This window comes from Homo sapiens, chromosome 12, assembly GCF_000001405.40.
Source record: "Homo sapiens chromosome 12, GRCh38.p14 Primary Assembly".
NCBI lineage: Eukaryota > Metazoa > Chordata > Mammalia > Primates > Hominidae > Homo > Homo sapiens.
This window is the reverse complement of record NC_000012.12, coordinates 68,311,062-68,328,695: the sequence shown is the minus strand read 5'-3', so window position 1 is coordinate 68,328,695 and position 17,634 is coordinate 68,311,062. Positions and strand designations below refer to the sequence as shown.

Here is a 17,634-nt window from a genome sequence, read left to right as displayed (position 1 = left end):
CCTGCCTCTGTGTTAAAGCAGAGAGGAGTCTAATTGGTGATCTTCAAGCTTTTTTGCTTTTATACTTCCTAGAAAAATTTAGAAAAACATTGTGCTTCGTCACACATTTCTAAATTGCTATTTTTTATAATAAATTTTTATGAATAGTTTTGAATGATAGAATTTCTGGTATATTGCATAGTGCTTATATATTTTACATATATTTTGTAAAAACTCTGGAGTTGCCAATTTAGCCCATTCAATTTTTGGAAAATGTTTATCATACAATTGGCAAAGTCAGTATTCATTGGCAAACTAACCGGCCAAATTAGAATTATTTTCTGTGAGAAAGTCTGTTTATCTTTAATTAAGGTAAATGTGTTATATGCATATGTACATTTCACATGACATCCCTCTCATATCTGAATTTTAATACTGAGAAGGTAGATGGAAAATCCATGGAGCTATATGAAATAAGATGCTGTTGCTTTGTTATTTCTAATCTCTGCCTGCTTTGTTTTGCTGTCAAATATTCTCCCTCAGGGATATGCTTTCTTGAATTGTCCCTTTGTTTGGCTCCCTACCCCTGAGGTTTTGTTCTACCTTGGGCGGACGCACTGGAGTAAGTTTCAGGCTGGTTAAGAGGTGTGTCTTTCTTCTCTAAAGTGGGAAAAAGGAGATTATGAAAGGGGCGGTGGGAAATGGAACTGCAGATGGCAGATGCAGCTCTCAGGCAGATATATCAGCATCAGGCAAGAGAGCACATGTGGAGTTGAGGATCTGGAAAATGATTCCCTTAAGCTGCCCACTTCTGTTTACCCTCCTAAAACATCTTTGTGTGCCTCCAGACAGATATCCACCCAGTGAGAAGACCTGTGGTCTAGGGAAGCCTTTTAAAAGGATAAGGACCCGGGGTGACATGGCCAAGACATCTACAACAGAGGCTAAGGAGCCCTGGGTTTTACCTCATGCCCAATTTTCTTTCCACCTTCCCTTTCCATTCTGGTCTTAATCTTCCTTCTGCACCCTGCAACTGTCTTAAAGAATGGCCCTAAACTAGGGCAGTCTCTCAGTGGCTGTCATTCTGCAGAGCTGCTCTTACCTTCATAGAAGGTTAAGTTTTTGGACATTTGCTTTCCATACAGAAATATAGAGAAATTGTATCTTAGCTGTTGTTAAAAGGGCTTATTCTTTTTTAATTCTCAGGAAATCAAGGCAGATGTAGAACCAAGATCCAGCACAGTGACATCTCATCCCTTCTCATCTTGGTCTGCTCCACATAAGAGAAGCTTTGTGAAAAGTTCCAAATTTTGACAGTACCAGGGCCCATTGTTCTGTTAAGTAGCACAGGAAAGTAATTAGAAACGAGGCAGCATGTACTGCCTGGCCTGCCAGGTCTATCACGTTGCAATTCTAGTGACTTTTGTTAGGATAACTGGAACATTTTGTGACCCCCTGATTTTTAATTTTTTGTTATGGTCAAATTTTTAATGCTTTTAAAAGCAAAATTAAATATTTTATGTTGAAAAGCTGTACTTTTAAAATCCTATAATCTGAAGGATATTGTGTGTATATATAGGTACATATATCTGAACTAAATTTAAAATTTCATTTCTCCTCCACAAGTGTTCTTAAAAGTTGTCTTTGTAACTTTTTGCTTTAGTAGCTACTATTTTTGTATACCGTGTTTTGTAGGCATCACGAAAGAGCCAAGTTTTATTTCAAAAAGAAGAGTCCCTTACCATGACCCACAGATTTCAAAATCTCTGGAGTGGAATGGAGCTATCTCAGAGAGCAATGTGGTTGCATCACCAGAACCAGAAGCCCCGGAAACACCAAAATCACAAGAAGCAGAACAAAAGGATGTTACTCAAGAAAGAGTTCACTCACTAGAAGCTTCCAGGGTTCCCAAAAGAACCAGATCTCACTCTGCAGACTCCAGAGCTGAAGGGGCTTCAGATGTGGAAAATAATGAGGGTGTAACAAACCATACACCAGTTAATGAAAATGTGGAACTGGAACATTCTACCAAGGTTCTTTCAGAAAATGTAGATAATGGGGTAGGCATATTCACTGCATTTCTTTTCAAAAGCATAGAATTCTTCATTGGTTTCATTGTCATTTCTGTAATATTACATTTTGTGTTTCAGAATTTTCCATTGTTGTTTTCTTGTCTAATGTCTATAAGAATAGTTGATAACAGGCTGTTGACTTTAGTTATTGTGAATTAGTTCTATTCTGACTACTCGCTATTTTGTAGTAGTTGTACTATGATAATCTGTTTATTGGATGGACCTCCTGCGTCTGGATTTTATTCATCATATATTAGCACCTGAGTCCTAAGGGAGAGATCAAGTTGAGACAGAGAAGGGAAGTAGGCCCTTACTTCTGGCAGGGTGCTGAGCTGACTTCTACCTAGCCCCTTTTCAGTTTCTTATCGTGTACAAGAAGACAAACAGAAATTCAATTGATGAAATGCAAAAGGAAGGAGAGCTCTGGCTGTCTCTCAGAGATCTTGCATTTCTGCTCTCTTATGTCACAGCTGGCCTGCAGCAGGTCCCTGTGAGCACATAAGCAGAGGCTGCAGGAACTTGTGTGGGGATCTCAATGCTTTCCACATTTCTTTCTCCATTCTGTTCCACTGCTCTTCTCTGGTTCATGTCCACCACTGACTGGGACCCTGAAGAGGCATTTCAGAGTGTTGGAGAAGAATCTGTAGCTTGTTGAAAAAGCTGGGGGTGAAAGGGAACAAGGAAGGTGATGTGTGAGTCTGGCAGGCAGGAGAAGGGGTGTTCATAGAAGCAGTGTGCAGGTGAGGCAAAGTGCTGGGACTTTTTGGTAATAGATTTAATTATGAATGATTAGTAGGAAAGGACTGAGAGTATTATATTTTTCCTGGGATGCCTAATAGTCCTTTGATAGAAAGGAATTTTAAATAGTTTGACACTTGAAAAAAGATACTATTTATAAGTTGAAGAAAGTTTGCTGTACCACAATGCGCATGTAGTTAACAATTTTGCACTGTAGATTTAACATTTTGTTAAGAGGATAGATTTCATGTTATGCATTTTTTACCACAATTTTTAAAAAGTTTGAATAGAAATTTTTAATGTCTTTGAGTGGATTTTGTTTTTTGAACAGTTGGATAGACTTCTGCGTAAGAAAGCTGGATTGACTGTTGTTCCTTCATATAATGCCTTGAGAAATTCTGAATATCAAAGGCAGTTTGTTTGGAAGACTTCTAAAGAAACTGCTCCAGCTTTTGCAGCCAATCAGGTAGCTTAATGGATGTAATACATTTCTGAGTACCATTATCTTATCTAGTAATGTAGATTTACATAGAATTAAGAGTTGAAAGAAATTAAGTACTTAAGTAGCCTGGAGGTAGGTTCTAGAAAACCAAAATGAGAGTTTTGCTAAAATCATCCTATTACTTATGATTTATGGTAGTAATATTATACTGTCCTAGGCTTCTGATGATCATTGTTGCCAGATGCAGCACATATACTAAATATGAGACAGGGTAATGAAAACTTGGGGAACTGGTAAGTTTTTGCATGCTACAAGATTTTTTTACTTATTAAAAAATTATTAAATTGATTTTATTCTAAAATGTTGTGTTTTGTTGACTAATATATTGCGTGTTTCCTGTATTCTAAGAAAGGCGTAACTGCTTTGAATATTTAATAAATACAAAATATGTTGACAGTAACACAAGATACGTAATTTTGTCCTTGTATCAGACAAATAGTAATAGGCATTGTCAGTATAACTATATTTGTAAAATTCAAAAGCTGTAATGATGTGGTATTAGATTTCATTATACTCCTGCACAATTTTAGTATTGAGATACCATTACTAATAGATAGTCTGTTGTTTTACTACCTTCATCCTTTAGGGAGTTCTTAGGCTTTAAACTCTCATTTATGTTCTTAACAGTACTTCTAGGCATAGACAGGAAATACCTCCACTTGGAATATCCCCAGAGACCTGTAATGGCTTAGTCTGTTTTTTCTTCTGGTCTTCGTGTTTTTCTTTATAAATACACACACTTTCACACACCCTCACATTCATTTTCTCCTGTACGTCAACATTCACTTGTATATTTTGTATAGCCGTAAGAACTGACAGGATAATTAGATTCAGCAAGACAATAACATCTAGTCATCTTACATTAAGATAGAAAAACACCAGTGATCCTATAAATTGTGGCAGCTTTGGGCTTAATTATTATTCAATTTTTAAAATACCTTTGAAATTTATATAACATTTTAAGAATCTGTGAAGTAACAAAGTGATAAATACCCTTTATTAACCTAGTAAATAGGATCAGTACTTCTTTTGCTTGCCTACAGGTTTTTTTGGAGATTAAGTGTACCTAAAACATTACTTACAACCTGAAAATTGTAATTATTCAGTTTTTTATAGAGTATTTGACCTTTAAAATAGAGCTGATTCAAATCAAAGCCCTATCATCATCAAATAGGGCTTTTACATGTCAGTGAAAGCGTTGTGTAGAAACGTTACTTTTATAAGAGAAATCACTAGCGATATATTCAGTAGTTTTACTGCTTTCTTTAATAAGTGTTTCACATACTTTTTTTAGAAGGAAATGCTCATGGTTAGTTCAAAGCATATTGAATTCAGAGTCTATGGATTGAAGAGCTTTGAGACAGCTTTCAATGCTTGTTGATAGGAAACCTCTAAAAGGGTTGTTCATTTCATTTTATCAGACACCTGCTTTCTGAAAGGATGTCTTATATTAATATGTAAAGGAGTCAGAACAGTTTTTGGCAGTAAAGTCCTTGAGGTTATACTGTACTAAAAAAGATAAACTGTTTAGATCTGATCTGTATGAAGATGTACTATCCAGCATTACAAAGCAGTAATATAACTTGACTGAGTTCCCCATCTTTTCCATTTGCTTTCCTTGTAATCAGTGGTAATATGCCGTGAAATAGAAACCATATTGTGAAGTAGTAAGTATAAAAGGAAATATTTAACAATAGAAGTGTAGTAATTGCTCAGAACATTTTCTTTGCCTTAATAAAATACGCTGAAAATAAGCCAAGGGAAGAAAAGCTAAACAAATTGAACATATTGGGTATTCAGAAATGTGAAGAATTTTCTATTAAGGCAGGAAGAAAAAAAATCATGTCAGGGAGGAAGAAAAAAACCTGTAGAACTGACAACAGAGTTGCCTTAAAGCTAATGTCTATGTCATATGAAAATATGCCAACGTTTATTTTGATTATAAGCTATATTTTGATTACAAAACTGTTATTCAAAACATAGTAATGAGTACATAAAGTTGACCTTTGGATGTTAATAATATATGTGAAATGAAATTAAAATCATATATAACTTTGCTATTTTTTTGTCCTGTAATTCAACTTTATGTTTTGTTAAGTAATTGAAGACCAAAGTTCCGCATATTTAATCAACAAAACTAAACTAAAATAATTTTTGTTTTAAGGTTTTCCACAATAAAAGCCAGTTTGTTCCACCATTCAAAGGTAACTCAGTCATCCATGAAACTGAATACAAAAGAAATTTCAAGGGTTTATCTCCAGTGAAAGAACCAAAATTAAGAAATGATTTGAGAGAAAACAGAAATCTTGAAACAGTGTCTCCTGAAAGGAAGGTATTCATCAACTTTTAACCTTACAAAACAAAATCCCCGTTATTTTAGATTCTCCACGTTTTCGTTTACTTACTACCACCTGGGAGTTTTTGGTTTTCACTAGTTCATTAATTCATTTGTTCATCAAATGTTCATTGAGCCAGCTACTAGGAGCAGACATGGGTTGGTACTGAGAATACAAGGCTGGCAAATAGCCCCAAGCAGCTCTTGGGCTAGTGGGGAGACAGACATAAATAAAAATGATACAGCATGATGAGTACTTAACAATACAGGAAGTAAGTCTAATAAGTTTAGTATCAAAGTCAAGTAAGTTTAATATCAAATGACTGGATTTACAGTAACCTCCAGGGGTAACAGTAGTGATAGAAATACTTATTTTAAGTTATGGAAATTAAACACATACATACTTATATGTATTTTATTTTTATTTATTTTTTTCGAGACAGAGTCTTGGTCTGTCGCCCAGGCTGGAGTGCAGTGGCACGATCTCGGCTCACTGCAACCTCTGCCTCCCGGATTCAAGCAATTCTCCTGCCTCAGCCTCCTGAGTAGCTGGGACTACAGATGCACGCCACCATGCCCGGCTAATTTTTGTATTTTTAGTAGAGATGCGGGTTTCACTGTGTTGGCCAGGCTGGTCTCGAACTACTAGCCTCAGGTGATCCGCCTACCTTGGCCTCCTGAAGTGCTGGGATTACAGGTGTGAGCCACCACACCCGGCCATCACATGTATTTTAAACCAAAGCTTTAGCATGCCAAATTATAGCCAGTATAATTCACATGATTTACCTCAGAATATACAAACAACTGCTTCTGTGTGATATTACAGCCATTTAATTTGCAGAATCAGGCTAACATGATTATAAATTACAGGTAATTGGGGTATAAATACTATTTTTGAATCTCCTGGAATGTTGATACCCGATACTTTATGGTCCTAAAAATAGAAAGTATGTAATTACAAGTAAATATGACTAAAAGTAAAATGATGTATACACACACACATATATTAGGCCTATGATATTATTGGAGAAAAAAAGAATTGTTATTCAGTAAAGCGATTTGGTAACTAATTCATCAGGATCTTATGTTTAATTACTGTAACGCAATTGTAAATTTAGAATATCAAATTCAGTATGTGGTAACATTATTTAGATATGTATTTGTTAACTTAAAAATTTTCTTCCTTAGCCAAAGATCTAAAATCTTTATTGTTAGAAAATGAAACTATATCCTCAGCTAAACTTCAAAAATAACTAACCAAATATACTAAAAATTTCAAAACTTCTTTGTTGATTTCTTATGGTTTTTATTTTCTTTAGTATCTAAAGCTTCTAAAAATAGAAATGTCATTAAATATTCAAGTCTAACTTTATAACATGCATGTTTTCACTTTAATGTGTAACATCTTAAGCATAAAAAGCTTAAATGATTTCCATTTCAGAGTAATAAAATAGACGATCGTTTAAAATTGGAAGCAGAGATGGAATTAAAAGACTTACACCAGCCTAAAAGGAAGCTTACTCCTTGGAAACATCAAAGGCTTGGGTATGTATTTTAATAGGAAAATATGGTATTTCAATGATTAACATGGTGAAATATTTACTTTCATTTCATTTCTATTAGGAAGGTGAATTCCGAATATAGAGCAAAATTTCTGAGCCCAGCTCAGTATTTATATAAAGCTGGGGCTTGGACACATGTAAAGGGAAACATGCCAAATCAGGTGAGTGTACATGACCTCAATAAGCCTACATGTTCTTTCAGCCTCTGTTAACACTTTAATTTCACAACGAGTTCCTTTTGGTAATAGAGACCACAATTTAAAGAAGTATGATATAATAATAGCACTAATAGTATCAGGAACTTATGTATTAGAATGTAAATTATCATTTTTTTTAATGCCACTGGCTCTTCAGAAATTAATATTTATTGAGGTCTTTTAAGTTTAATGCTTTTTACCATCAAACATTTGATTGTGTTAATAGTCAATTTATAGAATTGTATCATTATAGATTCGATTATTTCATAACCTCCAGACCTCCACTGTCTCAACTGAAGATTAATTTTCAAGATGAAATAATTTATCTGATAGTGATGCCCATTGTCAATGTGTACTATTACAGTTTGTAGGCAAAAGAAAGGTGAAGTTTGTGTTGTTAGAGGTGTGAGCTACAGTTTTGGGGTACTCTGACTTGGGAGAAACTCTGGGGATCTGAAGATAGGTTTGAAGGGAAGGGTAATTCTAGAGTTGAGAATTGCTACTTTAGTACTAGCTTCTTATACTCAAAGGATAGAGAATGGAACCTTTTTGTTATTGTATTAATTAGCATCTTTCAAATCATATCTTGACTTTTTTTTGCCTTTTCTGTGAGAACAAGCTAAATTAAAATGTTTCTGTTTAGACATAAGTAAACATCCCACTTCCCCCTGTCATTGTAAACAGAAGGATAATTTGGATGGGGAATGAGTCTTTTATTTAGCTCATTACTTAAAACCATGGCCCACAATTATATATAATCAGCCTCTGGGGGAAGGGGCTGGTGCTCGGGTGCGCTGAGCTGCTGGTTCTTTGAGCTGCAGCTCCCAGACATATGTCCTGGCGACTGCCATGCTGTCTGCATATTGTTTCAGGAGGTCACTTGATTCCTTCCACCGTGGCCACTCTTTTGCTTTCTTTCTACTTCTCTATTTGAGCACGGCCTGAAGACAGCACAGGCAAAGTAAAAGACAAAGCTCAAAGCTGTCCCGGATATTATCTGGGGCAATGTTCATATATTCACCTTAGTGAAATCAAGTTAAAACTAGGAGCATCGAAAGCACCCGTGATGGAAGAAAGGCAGTGAGTCAGCTAAACTCTTGAGCAGTTTATGACCATCCCAAGTCTTGGCAAAGATCTCCCTGACTGAGGAGTCTGATAGTGGGAGTGAGGAAAAGCAGGACAGAGGCAGAACAGTATGTGTGGCTGGTAAATTGATGTCAGCCGCTGGCCTGTTGTGTTTAGGCGTGACACTAGGTTGAGGTTATGAGAAACTCTTTGTTTTGAAGACTGTGTTTTCTCTGAGATTTCTACGCTTGATCTCAGCCAAAAGGCCGAGCAGCGATTTCTTTAAACTAAGATGAGTTTAGGCATCAGAACTAAACATCTAATTGAGAAGATTGTTAAAACTGAAGTCATAGTAAGATGAGATTCCTTATCCTGCCTTGATGGAAGAGAACATTGTTGTTGTCAATTTAAGATAGACTTTTCAAGGTTTCCTATTATGATATCTTGGTAATGCAGCTTTTTTTGCTTATTAAATACTATAATGGTGGTTGTAAATATTTAAATTAGTGGTATAGTTTGCCTTAATTTCTTTGAGAAAAATAATTCAAAAAGTAAATTGAAGTTGGAAAAGAATAAGAATTTTTAGCTAAGAAGTCAGTGATCATTGATGATAACAGTTTTAGTTGACCAGGTTATAGACATTTAATATGAGCCATGTTTTACTTATATCTCTTGGAAGTCATTTACTATAGGCATCTGATTATGAGGTTCCTAAATATAAGGTACAGTACTCCTTCATTTTCCCACTCCTAACATTTCAGGAAGGAGTGTATTCACACTCCTCACATGCACTCAGACATAAGTGACTTTGTTGTTGGAATATTAACTCACTTTTTGAGTCACATTAGTTTTCGAGTCCATATATCATCTTTATTTCTTTCTATGTTTGAGATATACTTTTTGAATCTGTTTATAGTCTAGTCACTGGAAATTCTATGCCAAGTCCCAGTTACCTCTCATAGAGCATTAGGGTGGTTGGTTTTATTTGCCCAGTGGTTGTGTATTTGTCATCTCCATTATAATAACCACTTGACTATTGCTTTTTAAAATGCTCACTTAAGGGATTGTTTCTTAATAGTCAGCAATTAGAACTTTTTAGGTTCTATCCTCAGAATAACTACTTAATCTATGTTAAACTTCTTTTTTTCTTAATTGTTAGGTAATCTTTTCATCATCGATTGGTTGAGGTGATTTTATTCCAATGTGTCTTCCACAAATAGGACTGTGTTTCAAGATAAAGTCCTGCATTTGAGAGATGTCCTGTAATTTGACAGACATTGTAAAGACTAGGTATAAAGTGACCCCTCATTTTGGGGGGATGGTTTTTGGGTAAAAGGAGTTTTTATCCCCAGTTTCTTGAGTTTGAATTTTCTGCATATGTTTTAAATAATTTAGTTGAACTCTTAATTTGGACAAAGAAATTCAGAAAAGGAAACATTCTACTTATAATTGTATCATAATATATAATATGATAACATTACTTGGCCCAGAAAGGTGTGTGTATGTTGTTGAGTTGGGAATGGTTTATTTCTATCCTTTTTGGTGGCTCTGGCAGTTGGCTATAGGGATTGTTCTATTTAACATTGAGTTCATGCTATTGATTTTTTTCCTCCTCTTTTTAGTAGAACATACTACTTTGGAAAATGTCAGCCTTTTAATTTTTCATCTTAGTTTAGGGCTAAAGATATTTAAAATCATATTTGTAAAATATAATATTAGCACTGAGATTAATAAAGATTGTTGATATAGTAAATTTAAAGCACTTAGTTTTAAATGTCAGTAACAAATAGAACTGAATAAATCAAAGTCTTCAGAATTTTTATGAAGTATACTCTCCCCCTCCTTTCTAAATAAAATTGACGTCAAATAAAACTGGATGACTGTGTACATGGAGGGTATTCATCCATCCTTTCATTCATCATGCATGGATAGATGCAGCTGCCTCTGCTGTCCCTTCCACCCCCACTGCCCCGTCAATCTACCCAACACAGTGCAGGACTGATTGGTCCCCCTTTTGAACTACTCCTTCAACTTACATTTCATTTCATTTGTTTATTATGGCATAGACCCCCATCAATATTATGACAATTTATGTACAGGTTGGCTCACTGAGTGCAGGGAGTTTCTTGCTTATCTTTGGCTGCCATGTTTAGCTCAGGCATACCACTTAGTCTGCACTCAGGACAGGTTGTGGGCTCAGTGCTTAAGTGCTGCGTTTTCCCTCACCTCAAGAAGTTCATAGGTTGATGGAGGAGGAGGGCATGTGCAATTAATTCCAGTAAAATTGAATATGTATTAATGGGGATGTGCCCAAAGAACTCTGAGAACACAGAGGAGGAAGTGATGCTGAGGCATGTAGGTGATGGAGTGGCCCTGAAACATTTGAAGCATGGGGGCACTTACTGGCAATAAAATCTGGAGTATATCGAGGCACTTTATAACAAGGTTCCTGTGCATTCAGAATACCCTGGTTAGAAGTTCAGTAGAGTTAATTCATGTACCTCACTTCTACCTGTTAAATGCAAAAACCACTGCTAGAAATTTTCTTTAAAGGTATAGGAGTTGATAGAAATGATAAATGAACATAGCTTTTTTTTTGGCAGTGAAGAAAATATTTCAAATTATCCTTTAGGAACTTTTTTCAGGTATGGTTCATTAGAGTAGGACTCTGTTGGGATTATATGGTTTCTTATGCCATATAGGTGCTGTCTTTTGCTTTGGCCAATTCCCTAGAGATGTAACACTTTCATCTTTGCATTCAAAATCGTACCTTGTTAAGGAGCTATGTTTCTACAATTGCTTTTACATTGCTGTTTCATTATTTGCTTTTTTTTTTGCCCTGAAAGAAAAGCAATTCTAGAATAAAGATTTTCTGTCTTGATGATTTAAAAAATTAGTGTTTTTTGAGATTAAATAAAGATACTGAACAGAATTTTAAGGGTAAAACTTGAACTTAATTTTTTTTACATTGTGGAATTGTACTTGGAGAAGCCAGCAGGTGGCAGTATGATGTATAAAGTGAAAGGTTTCAAATGGGTATGAAGGCTGCTTTTTTCATCAGAAAATGTTACTTGCATATTAAATAATTCATATCACTTTATTATTCAGCAGAACTTTTTTATCCTGTCCCTTTGTTGAACACATTGCAATTATGATTTTATGGGCTATTATTTTAAATTATATATTTAGTACTTTTTTAAAAAAAAAAAAGTTGAGATTTTGCTGATTCCAAGGGAATATTGAGGAATTTGGAGAGGGAAGCCTCATAACCTCATTCATCTCCCAGTGAGGGCTTCTGTAGCAGTAGTAGCTGTATACAAAGCCATGAAATAAAGCTGGGTTAGGGATTTTTGGCGTGTAAGTACTCTTCCAGAGGTAGGGAAATAGGAATAATAGTTAGATTGCCTAATTTATCTGTCATCAGCAGCATCCTAGCCATGCAAGAATGTGGCTGGTTTTCAAGATAATAATAAGGTATCTTGGTTACTGAACTAATTACTAAAAATCCCAAGAAATATTGATTGACAAGTTTGGTAGATATTTAGAAGGGAGAATAATGTGTTTCATTGATTCCCATTAATATTCAATTATGGCATTAACCTATCATTAAGTGTGTTTCTGTATTCCTTCTCTAGGGTTCTCTAAATGCCATGTGGTATGCTGAGGTTGGTTGCTTTTGAGTTTTTAAAAACTATAATCATAGATTACTTGTGTAATTTCAGTTGGAATAAAAAGTAGGTGTCAATATTTTTCTTAGCTGCTATGAATTTCTCCCTGCCTGCTGGTCTGAAATAAAATAACTGCATCATGCTTTAGCTTGATTGTTTTAGTTTTTGCTTAAATGCACAGTCTGATGACTGTATGTGGCTAATTTTGCCTTCCTTTGTCTTTGGTCCCTGGCTGTATTTGTGCAATGTCTTTGATATGCTACTTGGTGCTGTTTGTAAAGAAGCATTTACAATAGTATATGATGTCTGAACTCTCCTGAATAGGTTAAAGAACTCCGAGAAAAGGCTGAGTTTTATAGGAAGCGAGTTCAGGGGACGCATTTTTCTCGGGACCATCTGAATCAGATTTTATCTGATAGCAACTGCTGTTGGGATGTCTCCTCAACCACAAGCTCAGAAGGAACCGTTAGTAGCAACATCAGAGCATTAGATCTTGCTGGGTGAGATATTCTTTGTGGATGGCAAAAAAAGTTTGTTGAAGCTTATGTAGATCATAGAATGATATAGGAAAATGACCTGACTACTCAAAATGTGTCTCCTAGTCGAATGGAATTGTGGCAGCCATTTATTTCATTTTTATTCTCAGTGAAAAATAAAGCAATGTAGATTGCTTTATTTATGTATAAATAACACATAATGTAAATCTGGAAGGCTAGATTTTTATAATATTTTTTGTTGGCAGTTAATAGCGGAGTAGGGATGATTACATGGTAGATGTAAAAAGACCTTTAGAAGGTAAAAAGAAAGTCAACAACAATAAAAAAGTAGAGACTGCAAGCTATTAATACATAGCTATTATTCATTAATAGATTTTGTGGCTAATTCAGAACTTGGCTGCTGATTTTATGGAAGAGCGCTCTGCTGTTCTGGGTTAAAATGAACATGATTTAATTATCTGTAAGTGAAAGTAATTGAAGAACTTAGACCATGGGGTCCTAGTTTATGTGTGTAAATGCCAGTTTAGGGCTAGGTATGACTTGTGTCAGCAGATGTACACAAGCATATGTGAAGGTAGGAGTAAAAGAAGATAAATACATTTTGGAATATTTTAATAGAAACTCCAGATTATGACTTTCATTTATTTTGCTATAAAACGAATTAGATTTCCTTCTTCAATACCTGAGCAAGGCAATATCTATGGAAAACATGTAGTTGTGAACAGTAGAAGGAAATGATGGACTCACTAAAATTGGTGTTGATTAGAAAAGTGCAAACTATTCACATTTAAAATAAAATTGATTTTGTTACGCAGAGATCCTACAAGCCATAAGACTTTGCAGAAATGTCCTTCTACAGAACCAGAAGAAAAAGGAAATATCGTGGAAGAACAGCCCCAGAAAAATACCACGGAGAAATTGGGTGTGTCAGCTCCCACCATACCCGTTAGAAGGCGGCTGGCTTGGGATACAGAGAACACAAGTGAAGACGTACAGAAACAGCCCGGGGAGAAAGAGGAGGAGGACGACAATGAAGAGGAAGGGGACAGGAAAACGGGCAAGCAGGCTTTTATGGGAGAGCAAGAGAAGTTGGATGTACGTGAGAAATCTAAGGCAGATAAGATGAAAGAAGGGTGAGAGTTTTAAATTACTCAGTATAGAGAAGCGTTATTTACATGGTTGATATGTATTTTGTCACTAAATATAGTGGTTTACTCTTTTGATTTTATGACTAATAAATTGCAGATTTTATTTCAATGTCACAAAGGAGGCACTGCTGTATGGTGAATAATTTGATTCACTCAGGTATTTAAGTCACTAGTGATTGGTAATTGAATACTTGAATTCTGGCCTACTTTGGGAGGAAGTAGTTAGGATTATTTTCATTTACGTCCTATAATTTATGGTGTGCCAGATTTGCAAATGTGTCTGGAAGAATGACTTTAAAGAAAAAAACTGGTGTTCTTTAATATCAGATGATTCTACCAAAAAAGATAATGTTTTATAATATTTTTTAAAAAGTGATTTCTGAAAATAGCTAATTCCTGTTGTTTTATGTGTAAATTGCTTTGGGGAGTGGCTCTTCTCCACCTATGATAATAGTGCCTTTTGTCTATAATCTAAATCCTTTATTCATTCATGGATGTTATGGAACTTGAGCCTTGATGTGAGGAAGGATTCTCTGCTGTGCCGGTGCTGACTTGGCAGTGATTTTCCCCATTATCCAGTATTCAGTCACTTTTTTCTTTGTGGGTTGTTTTTCTTCTATTGATATAGTTGATATAGCTTATATTATTTTTTCAGTGTTCTGTTTTATTTTTGATCTTGTGCTTAGTTCTATTCATTATTGGAAATTTCAGTCGCTTTTAACTGCATGTGGATTTGGTGGTTATTTTTTTCAGAAACAAAATGGCCTTCTCTTACAAGTTTTTTTTTTTTTTTTTTGAGACGGAGTTTCGCTCTGTCACCCAGGCTGGAGTGCAGTGGCACGATATCGGCTCACTGCAAGCTCCGCCTTCTGGGTTCACGCCATTCTCCCGCCTCAGCCTCCCAAGTAGCTGGGACTACAGGTGCCCGCCACCACACCCAGCTAATTTTGTTTTTGTGTTTTTAGTAGAGATGGGGTTTCACCATGTTGGCCAGGATGGTCTCGATCTCCTGATCCGCCCGCCTCGGCCTCCCAAAGTGCTGGGATTACGGGCGTGAGCCACCGCGCCTGGCCTCTTACAAGTTTTATACTTTATTATTGCACAATGATGGCAAAGTATTTTTTATCATATTTTCTCGAGGAAATGCTGTATAGATTCATAGATTGTTTCAATTTATAGGTCAGATTCTTCTGTATCCTCAGAAAAAGGAGGCCGGCTTCCTACTCCCAAGCTGAGAGAACTTGGTGGAATCCAGAGGACTCATCATGATCTCACTACTCCAGCTGTTGGTAATCGGCAAACACCGTGCAGTTCTTATTTAACCTGCTTTTTCTACATGTTAATTTAGTGTAATTGAAACTGTCATCTTTATTTTTCCAGGTGGTGCTGTTTTAGTGTCTCCATCTAAGATGAAGCCTCCAGCCCCAGAACAGAGGAAAAGAATGACCTCTCAGGATTGTTTAGAAACTTCAAAGAATGATTTTACTAAGGTAAACATGTTTTGGGGAAAAAAGCATCTCATCTAGGACTAATTATTGTAGACACATGTAATAAATGAATGATGGGTTAAGATTTTAGAGAATTGTGGCTATCATATGAGGAGATGATACTGTTAACCTGCTTTTAGTAAGGCAAAAGGCTTGACTTTTTTTCTGTTAGAAGCATTACGTTTTTGTTGATACACTTTCAACCTTGTCAGTAGTGACTCAATAGGAAGATAAAGAAAGCAATACTTTCATTGAGCATCTGCTGTGTGACAGTTGTATTCCAGCTATGTTCCAGGCATTGTTTTAAGTGCTGGGGATATAGCAGAGAACAAACAGACAAAAATCATAGCCATCATTGAACTTACATTCTAGTGGAGGAGGGAGACAATAAACAAAATAACCAGGTAAAATACATAGTATTTTAGATACTGATTAGTGCTAAGGAGAAAAATAAAGCTGCTGAAGTGAACAGGAAGTGGCCAGGGAAGTCCTCGGTGCGAGAGTGGCATTTAAGCAGGATCTGAAAAAGGTAAGGGATTGACCTGTATGCGGATCTGGGAAGGTCTAGGTGACAAGAACAGTAAGTGCAGATCCCTCAGGTGAAGGGGGTACCTGCCCCCTTGAGGAACAGCTAGAAGGTCACTGTTGCTGGAAGAGAGAGAGAGAGAATGAGAGGGAGAGTAGTGTTGATAATGGGTTCAGAGACATAATGGGGTGCTAAATTGTGTAGGGCTTTGTAAATCATAGCAAAGATTTTGAATTTTTTTCTGTATGCAGTGGCAAGCTATTGGAAAGGCAGAGGAGTGACATGATTTTATTTAGTTTTTTTCCAAGGTCTTTCTGGCTGCTGTGTTGAGAATAGGTAGTAGTAGAGCAAGAGCTGGGGCATAAAAACAGTTGGGAGTCACTTACTCTATCCAGGCAGGAGGTGATGGTTGTTTGGACCTTGGTGGTGGCAGTGAAGGTCATATAAAGTTCAATTCTGGATACACATGGAAGGTACAGCCAACAAGATTTGCTGATGGATAAGATCTGGGGTGGGAGAAAGAGAAAAATCAAGGGTGACTCAAGATTTTTGGCCTTAGCAATAAGGATGGAGTCGCCATTTAACTGAGTTGGAGAAGATCAAGAATTCCGTTCTGGACACTCTAAATTTGAGAAGCTTATTAGACATACAAGTAGACATGTTGAATAGGGAACTGACTATATAGGTTTGGAGTGTAGAGGAGAAGTTGGGCTATAGGTACAGATTTGAGGCTCTTTATAGCTTAGGTGGGTCAGGTTTTTAAAGTATTGAGACTGGAGGAAATCATCAAGGGGGTGGGTGTAGACAGAGAAGAATAGTTGTAGACAGGTCTAAACCCCAGTTTTTTGATATTGGGAAGTTGAGGACTAGTCAGCAAAGGAGACTGAAGGAGAGCAGCCAGTGAGGTGGTGACAAACGAGACTGGTATCCTGGAGGTGTCAAGGAGGAGGGAGAGTCAATGCTACAGATAGGTGAGTAAGATAGGACAATTGCTTATCAGATTTAGCAACGTGGAGGTCTTTGGTGACCTTGATAAAGGGCAGTTTTGGTGGAAGGAAGGGACAAAAGCCTAAGTGCAAGTGAATTCAAGAGAAAAAAGAGGAGAAGAATTGGAGAAAGCTGCCACAGATAATTCTCTGAAGTTTCTTTTCCAAGAAGGGAAGCAGAGTAATGCAGGAGTAGTTGAGAGAAGTGAGAACAAGATGGAAGACACAACAGCATGTTTGTATGTTGACAAGAATAATTTTGGAGAGAGAAAAGTTGATGATGCAGGAGTGAGGGGAAAGTTGTTGGAAAGATGCTCTTGAGTAGGAGAAAGGGCTTAGGATCTGGTGGAGATATGGAAGGGTTGGCTTTAGACACTGATTGTTTCTTTATTGTTAAAAGAGGGAAAGCAGAATTCATGGGCAGGCACTGCTGATGAATGTAGGAAGATGTGATGGCAGCTTTTGGAAGACCTCTTCTTATTGCTTCTTGGTGACATGTGAAGAAAGATCCTTACTGAGAATAAGGCTGGGGAAGATGTTGGAGATTTGAGGAAAGTGAAGGCATAGAGTAGTCTTCTCAGAGAGTGGGAGAGTGAGTGGGCCAGGGGAATGTGGGATATTTTAGGCCAATGTTAAGGGGCCATTTTAAGTTGGTGGTCACAAAGTTGGCAGAAGACCAGTCAGGAAGGGTTGTGTGCCCTTCTCCAGTAATGTTTGGCTGCAGAAGTGCAGGATACTTTTATCAGATAGAGTTGGATTTACCTAGGGTTTTGAATTTGTCATGAGAATAAGACAAAGTGAGAAAAAGGGGAATGGAGTTGAGGTATATATGAAGAAGGGATTATAATGAGTTGGTGAGGGAAGGACACTGG

The 17,634-nt window shown here is 36.5% G+C and overlaps 1 protein-coding gene across 16 annotated transcripts in view; it reads left to right on the top strand.

The window, feature by feature from the left end:
• Positions 1 to 17,634, top strand: part of MDM1 (Mdm1 nuclear protein) — a 37,797-nt gene that overhangs the window by 3,667 nt on the left and 16,496 nt on the right. For 2 of the 16 annotated variants that reach the window (NM_001354969.2, XM_011538569.2), the window contains exons 3-12: positions 1,675 to 2,039; positions 3,121 to 3,255; positions 5,456 to 5,623; positions 7,068 to 7,171; positions 7,250 to 7,349; positions 12,086 to 12,115; positions 12,443 to 12,618; positions 13,431 to 13,748; positions 14,943 to 15,052; positions 15,144 to 15,253. In NM_001354969.2, the coding sequence (NP_001341898.1) occupies positions 1,675 to 2,039; positions 3,121 to 3,255; positions 5,456 to 5,623; positions 7,068 to 7,171; positions 7,250 to 7,349; positions 12,086 to 12,115; positions 12,443 to 12,618; positions 13,431 to 13,748; positions 14,943 to 15,052; positions 15,144 to 15,253 (1,616 nt within the window). Of the gene's footprint in view, positions 1 to 1,185; positions 5,352 to 5,455; positions 5,624 to 7,067; positions 7,172 to 7,249; positions 7,350 to 12,085; positions 12,116 to 12,442; positions 12,619 to 13,430; positions 13,749 to 14,942; positions 15,053 to 15,143; positions 15,254 to 17,634 lie in introns of those variants that run through there. The other 14 variants (NM_001205028.3, NM_001354970.2, NM_017440.6 and 11 more) reach the window with 12 other exon arrangements.